We start from the raw sequence: 6,770 nt of genomic DNA on the forward strand, positions 1-6,770 counted from the left end.
CTGCGTCCTCCAGCCTATCTGGTTTTGTCATTGTCGTGGGCTGTCAGGGGAGCAGACCCTTGACTTCCTGGGCTCCATGAATAATTACTGTGGTTTCTGGCAGGAACTCCCTGTCTTCCCACCACCCAGCCCGCCACCCTTGTCCTCTCCCTCTTCCAGGAAGCCTGCTTGTTCCTTCTGCTCTCTCCAGCCTGTGCTCTCAAGCACCACTCGCAGGCCTCGCCAGCTGATTTTCTGGGTCTTCTCTGCCCTTCCTTAGAGAGTGCATTTCTTTGGTCCTGCATGTCTTGTTCACTCCAGTTTTCTCACTTGGCTCCTCACAGCCCATCCCAGAGACCACACATCCACTTAGCCTTACGTAAGCAAAGCTGGGTTCAGCATCACCCAGCAATGCCACACACACCTCCTGACGAGGCTGGCCTGCTCCTACCTTGGAAAGCCACCATTTCCTTCCCCCGTGAAATGCAAAATGCCAAATTTACTCTAGGAAAGTAAAATTAGTTTGTGGTCATGGGGGTTGTTTGCCCCTCCGTTTGTGGCCTGTCTTGAGGGAGCTGTCATTGTTTGCTGTTTGTGCAGTTCAGGTGTGCAACTAACACCTCTTCCTTTGCACATCAGCCCCAGGAGGGGACTATTCCTGAGATATGCAGAACAGCTCTGTAGTCCACCTGAGGATCCTGACCATACAAGCTTCAGGCCTCAGGTTCTAACTAACATTTAAGTACATTTCAATTAAACATCACATTTCAGACTAATATGTCTTTAAAGTAAATGCACTAGGGAGATATGGAAGCCCCATGACACATTTAGCAATCACATTTTCTCGAATTAGTAGCTAATGGTACATGAAGTGAGGTCTCCTGTTCAAACCCAGAGCTCAGCTGTATGGAAGTCCTGTCTTTCTTCCCTACTTCTATTTGCCATTGAAACTTCTCCCTTGGCAGGTCAGCTGCTATGGAGTGCCTTACTTCTGCCTGGGAAACATCTTCACTTCCCCATCTAGTAATATGGGAGATATTTACTTTTTCTCTGTATTTCCCTATTAGCCTGTATATCTATATATCTATATATATTTTTCATCCATGCCCTCTATCTCCAAAAGGCATCTGTTTAGGGTATCTATGCCCACATCCTGATATCCCAGTCCCTTCAGCTGACAGTTAACCCCACAGCACTTTCAGACCCAAAGTGAGGTCCACTGGTGTTTTTGCATGTTATATAATACTTACACGCACATATATGTGTATGTATATGTGTATATATATATATCTGTGTGTACATATATATATATGTAGATATTCAGCTGTCAGTGTTATCATTATGTCTGGCAGATTTATAAACAACAGCTTTTAGACGCTCAGTTAGAGTTTACATCATTGAAACCCACAACAGATTGAAAAATAAAACGGAAAATTTACTGGAATGGTAACCATCCTCTTCCCACTGGCTCCAGGATGTGATATCCAGAACAAGAAGATTCCAGGATGTGAGGCACAAAGGAGGCTGCTGTAAAGATCCCCTAATTGGGGCTCTCTCCTCCCACCCTGCACTCCCCAATACCACTGGCCCAACCCATTGCAGATGTCTGTGGTCCTGCTGTGAGGAATAGGAATGCCTTTGAATTAGCAATGTTTTAATACTAAGAGAGTAAGTAACTGAGGGAGCCAAATTTGGTCTGCTAATGTAAACTGCTTTATCAGATCCTTTCCAGTTTGATAACAACTAAGAATATTTCCCCAGAAGAGGACAAACTATAGGAAAAATTGCAAAGGTTGGGGGTGGGGACTTAAAATGGGAACAGATGAGCAAGTGTCCTGGGGAGGTCAAAAAGGGGGCAGAATCCAAAGAGCCTGAGGCACTCCTTGCCTTCTTCACCACCCACAGAGACCTGTTCTGGATAACCTGTGGCTCTGGGCTCCGGTGGGCAATTCCGGCCCTCACCACACCTGTCAGCTTTTGAGTGTCTGTCCATCCATAAGTCAGATCAGAAATTCTTAGCAAACTCAGCTTCTCTCCCAGCCCATCCACCCCACAAACACTGCCCCTCATACACCTTCCCACCATGAGAACAATCCTCTTTCAGGTCTTTGAATATCAAAGAACTCTCTTTAGGTCATAGATCATCCTTTCCCAACCAGCCATAGACAAGTGGCTGGAGGGAATAAGAAACCAGGAGATGGAATAATAATGGTATTTATTAAATAGATGATATGGAAATATATAGTAATGGCATTTCTTATAGAATAGACTTATGTAATTGTTACCAGAGCACCAGGCATTCAGTCTAGGTCCCATTGCTCACTGCACAGAAAGCCAATCGCTGAGACAATGAGTATCGCCAGGAAAGAAAGGCTTTGTTCAGGTGATGTCAACAAGGAGAATGGGAGAGGAGTCTCAAATTCATCCCCCCGACTTGGGGGGTTTGTACGGTGGGGGAAGGAAGGTAGCTACATGCAGGAAGGATTGAAGGAGAGATAAGGAAGTAATCACGACAAATGAGGGGTCTGTCTTCTCGTTGTCTGGGAGTAGCAATCTGGCGAGTTTCAGTCCCTTGCCTGAGAGTGGGTTTCCTGAGGAAGAAACTCAGATGAAACAAGTGTAAGTTTCAAGTTTAAAGACTGGAAAGGTCAATTTCCATGTTTATTCAAAAACTCATAAATATCATTTTTATGTGACAATTGGGTTGTTTTATAATACTTATGAAATAGATAATAGTATATATAGTTAAATTTTCCATCCCTCAATTTCTTATCTTCCAAATGGCAATAACAATAGCATGTACAGAATAGAGTTTTAAAGATTAAATAAGCTGATATCTGTAAAAACTTGCTTGGAAAATAGTAAGTGTTCAGTAAATATTATTTATTGATATGACTATTTCTGCAGAATCTTTCTAATATTCTGGATTTAAGAAAAGTTGAGTAGCAAGTAATAGATTCCCACCTGCATCTGGGTCGTTAGTTGTAGTCAGAGTTGGTGCCAAAATATTCCAAGTGTTAATCCTCCCACATACACACACTACTCCCCATGTGAAATGAACTCAGGTAAAAGCAGAGAACCATGTGGTCAATTAGGAGGAACTGGCAGAGACCACTAATTTTTGGGAAAACTCATTTCTGACTTTTTTCAGATCAAACAGAGCTGTGAGCAAATTTTTTCTGGCTGTAAGGAAGGAACACATTCATAAGCCAAAGACACAGACCTATGAGGTGTGCAACTTCCTGTTTCCTTGGTGAATGCTTCAGAAAACACTCAGTTGGGAATTTAAAATTTTTCCATTTGCTGTCACCCTTCAAAGCTCGTTGAAGAATGGATGGGGTGAGTCAGGGAGCTGGTTTGGGGATAGACTTGGGGGAGGCTTCCACACTCTTCCTTGATTTTGTAGTAACTCACAGAGACCAGTGACCTTTGCATTCTGACTCTGGCTCTGGGTAAGGGTGTGTGACTCCTTAAATGCACAGACCCAAAGCTTCTGAAAAGCATAAGGTATTTCGTGCAAGTCAATGACTAAACCATTCAGGGAAAATGGAACCCTATTCTCTAACAAAAATATCTCTTGGGTTAGTGTTCCACTCTGATGGCTCATCCTCAAGATATAACTGTTTAATTAATTCAAATAAGTTTGTTTTGACCTTTCTTGACCTTTCTGTGGCTCTTGACAAGGCAGGCATCGGCTCCATCTTGAAACCCTCCTCCCGGGGCTTCAGGTACTAGTCTTTCTTGGTTTCTTTCCTCTTTCCCTCACCACAGTTTCTCAGCTCCACTGCTAATAGATCCTCTTTCTACAACTGCTTCTAAAATGCCTGGACATTCAGAGTTTCATATTTATTCTTTTTCACATTTTAATTCTAACCAATGGTTTTTAATCTTTTCTGGCGACCAATCAATTCAAGAAATCTGATGAATCTATGGATTTTGTCACTGTAAAATTCACACTCTTACATCTGAAATGTTACACACGACTTCGGGGGATCCCCAGCCCACTGTAATGACCCCACAGCACCCCAGAGGATCTGTGTGGGAAAGAAAAAAAGCAGCCCGTGAGACTCAGGAACTTGTCTGACTCTCGGAGCAGGGCCTCTGTGCTGAGAAGGTTGCTGGTGCTCACATGGAAGATGGAGGATGTCTTATCCTCCTGTCGTATATGAACCATCTCACAGAACACCAGAAACACCAACATCAGACAAGAGCACTTTGAGACCATAATAATCACAGACAAAAACAAGGTGACCATGTAACTAACAAAATGCTGCACCTACCCCCTACCCCAGCAAATATGAAAGATGTTTTCAATTACTTCTTTATCAATTACAGCTGGATCCTCACTCTCTCATCTTCCATTTCTATAGAGAAGATTTATTTAGATACTCAGCCATAGAATTGTCTCTGCTTTCTTTTCACTTATTTTTGGTAACAGCTTTATTAAGATATGTTAATAATTCATACAGCATACAATTTACCTATTTAAAGTGCTCAATTCGATGATTTTTCCAGTATATTTAGAATTGTTCAACCATCATAAGAATGAATTTTCGAACATTTTCATCTCCTGCAAAAGAAACCCTGCACCCCTTATCAATAACCCCCAATCGGCTCATTCCCCCAACCCTAAGCAACCACTAATCAACTTTGTCTCTCTGTATATTTTCCCATTCTGAACATTCCCCATAAAGGGAATCTAATAATACATGTTATTTCTGTGTGGGGGACAGAGGGAGGGCTGGCTTCTGTCAGTTGGTATAGTGTTTTAGGTTCATCCATGTTATAGCATTTATCAGTATAGCATTCCTTTTTACGGGAAAATGGTATTCAACATGTATTTCAATATTATTTCAATGGATATACCATATTTTGTTTATCCGTTCATTAACTGATAGACATTTGGGTTGCCCTTGTTTTCTGACAGCACCCAATCTAGAACAAACCCCTGCTTTCTTAAACCCACCTTAAATCACCCAACTACAGCCAAAGTCTTATCATAAGTCCTTTCTAATACCATCTTATGGAGACACCCCACAGTTCTCCAGGATACATGTTTTTCCTTACTGCAATGAGTAATAAACCCAAGCCTTTGGTGGTCTTTGGCTGGAGAACATTGACACACAGATTCTATGTTACTGCAGATCCTTGCTCCAGAATTAAGACCTGGCCTAAGTTACACCATTCAAGTCCTTAGCTTCAACAATCAGCAAAATGTTAGCTCCTAAATGAATATACCCAGGCATCATACATCTCACTATTTATTAGACATATCTACCATGGTGTCCTACAAATACCTCAAATGCAAATGTCAAAAACAAAGTACTCTAAAATTTTATTTTCCTCTGACTGCTATCTTAATTAAAGCCACCACCATCTAACAATACACAATTCAAAAATCAGGAGGTCACCCCACACGTGTAATCCCTCAGCTCCTAAATCTGTACTTGCCTCTTCATTTCCACCAAAGCTGCCTTATGTCTTTTACCTAGACTTTTGCAATGACCTTCTTGCTACCTGGCCTCCTTCCTCTCCAGCCTTCACTCCTTCCTTTGTTCCTTCCACATGGCACTGACGTTTTAAAAATAGAAAGCTTATTATGTCATTTTCCTTCTCACAATCCTTTCATGGCTCCCATCATCTGCAGAATAAAGTCAACATTCCTTAGGAGGGCATTTAAAAACCCCTTGTGTTCCTGTCCCTGGGTATTGCTCCAAGTACCTCTGTCTTTCATGAACTCCCTGTGTCCCAACCACAGCAAACAACTTGAAGGGCCTGGAAAAAGTCACCATCTTTAAGATCTTCTCACATTAGCATTCCCCCCCACACCCACCCCCAGACTACTTAGCAAGATCCTTTTTTCCCCGTCTCGTCAACACTTACTTGAGTCCCCTCATAAGTCACCAACTCCAGGAAGCCTTCCATGTTTGACTCCATGAGTCCATAATGCTCTTTCATACTATTTTTTAGCACTTACCACCTACTGAGATTCTTAAAGATGGCATCCTGTCCCAAGGAGACTAGAATTATGCTGTAATAACTATTGTATCTTCACCGCTTAGCGGCGCTTCACACAAAATAGAGAGTCAATAAATATTTGATAAATAAAAGAATAGTGCAGTGATCTGATGAACCCAGCCCCAGCCAGTGTCTGACTCCTAACCGCATGAGACCCAGAACAAGGACTGCTTAGCCAAGCCCAGTCAACCCCTAGAGCTGTGGAAAGATAGTAATAATGAAAGACCATTGTTATACTCCACTGAATTTGGAATGGTTTGTTATGCAACAATAGGTGACTAGAACAACCTTAGAAGAGCTATAAGACATAATCAACCTGTACTAAGAGAGGCCAGGAGAGTATCTATGGGCCTGGATCCTGGGGGTGCTAGATCAAGGAGAATAAGGAAGAGTTAGTCTTTGTGAAAGCCCTGCCCCCTGACCCAAGATTTAACACTGTGGCAAGGTTCCTGACATGCTGCTAGGTCAGACCTTGGAAGCTTAGGCACACTAACCGGAGGAGAAATGCTGAGTCAAATGGTAGAGAAAGAATACAATGCCCAGGGAAGTGGGCATAGTATTGTAGATACACTTCATAAGGCCAAAACTCTACAAGACAATGAAGGCCTGGAGTCACTCCATTTACTAAGGTAATCAATCATTTTATTGGCAAGATGGACAGCAATACCATTAAGCTCAGGGATGACTGTCTTCTCTAGGCAAGTCCTGCAATAAGGGATGCTTACATAAAGATGCTGTCTTTGGCTCATTAATATAATTCTGTAAAGCATCAT

General features: G+C 42.2%; 1 long non-coding RNA gene across 1 annotated transcript; it reads right to left on the reverse strand.

Annotated features, from left to right (window-relative positions):
* Nucleotides 1-2,177: 2,177 nt before the first annotated feature.
* LOC124901618 (uncharacterized) lies at nt 2,178-6,171 on the reverse strand. The gene is made up of 2 exons (XR_007060294.1): nt 5,957-6,171; nt 2,178-2,570 (listed from the first exon to the last, which is right to left on the reverse strand). It is a non-coding gene; the product is annotated as an uncharacterized LOC124901618 (long non-coding RNA).
* Between the last annotated feature and the right edge of the window lie 599 nt (nt 6,172-6,770).

The sequence above is a fragment of the Homo sapiens genome, chromosome 7, assembly GCF_000001405.40.
Source record: "Homo sapiens chromosome 7, GRCh38.p14 Primary Assembly".
Lineage (NCBI taxonomy): Eukaryota > Metazoa > Chordata > Mammalia > Primates > Hominidae > Homo > Homo sapiens.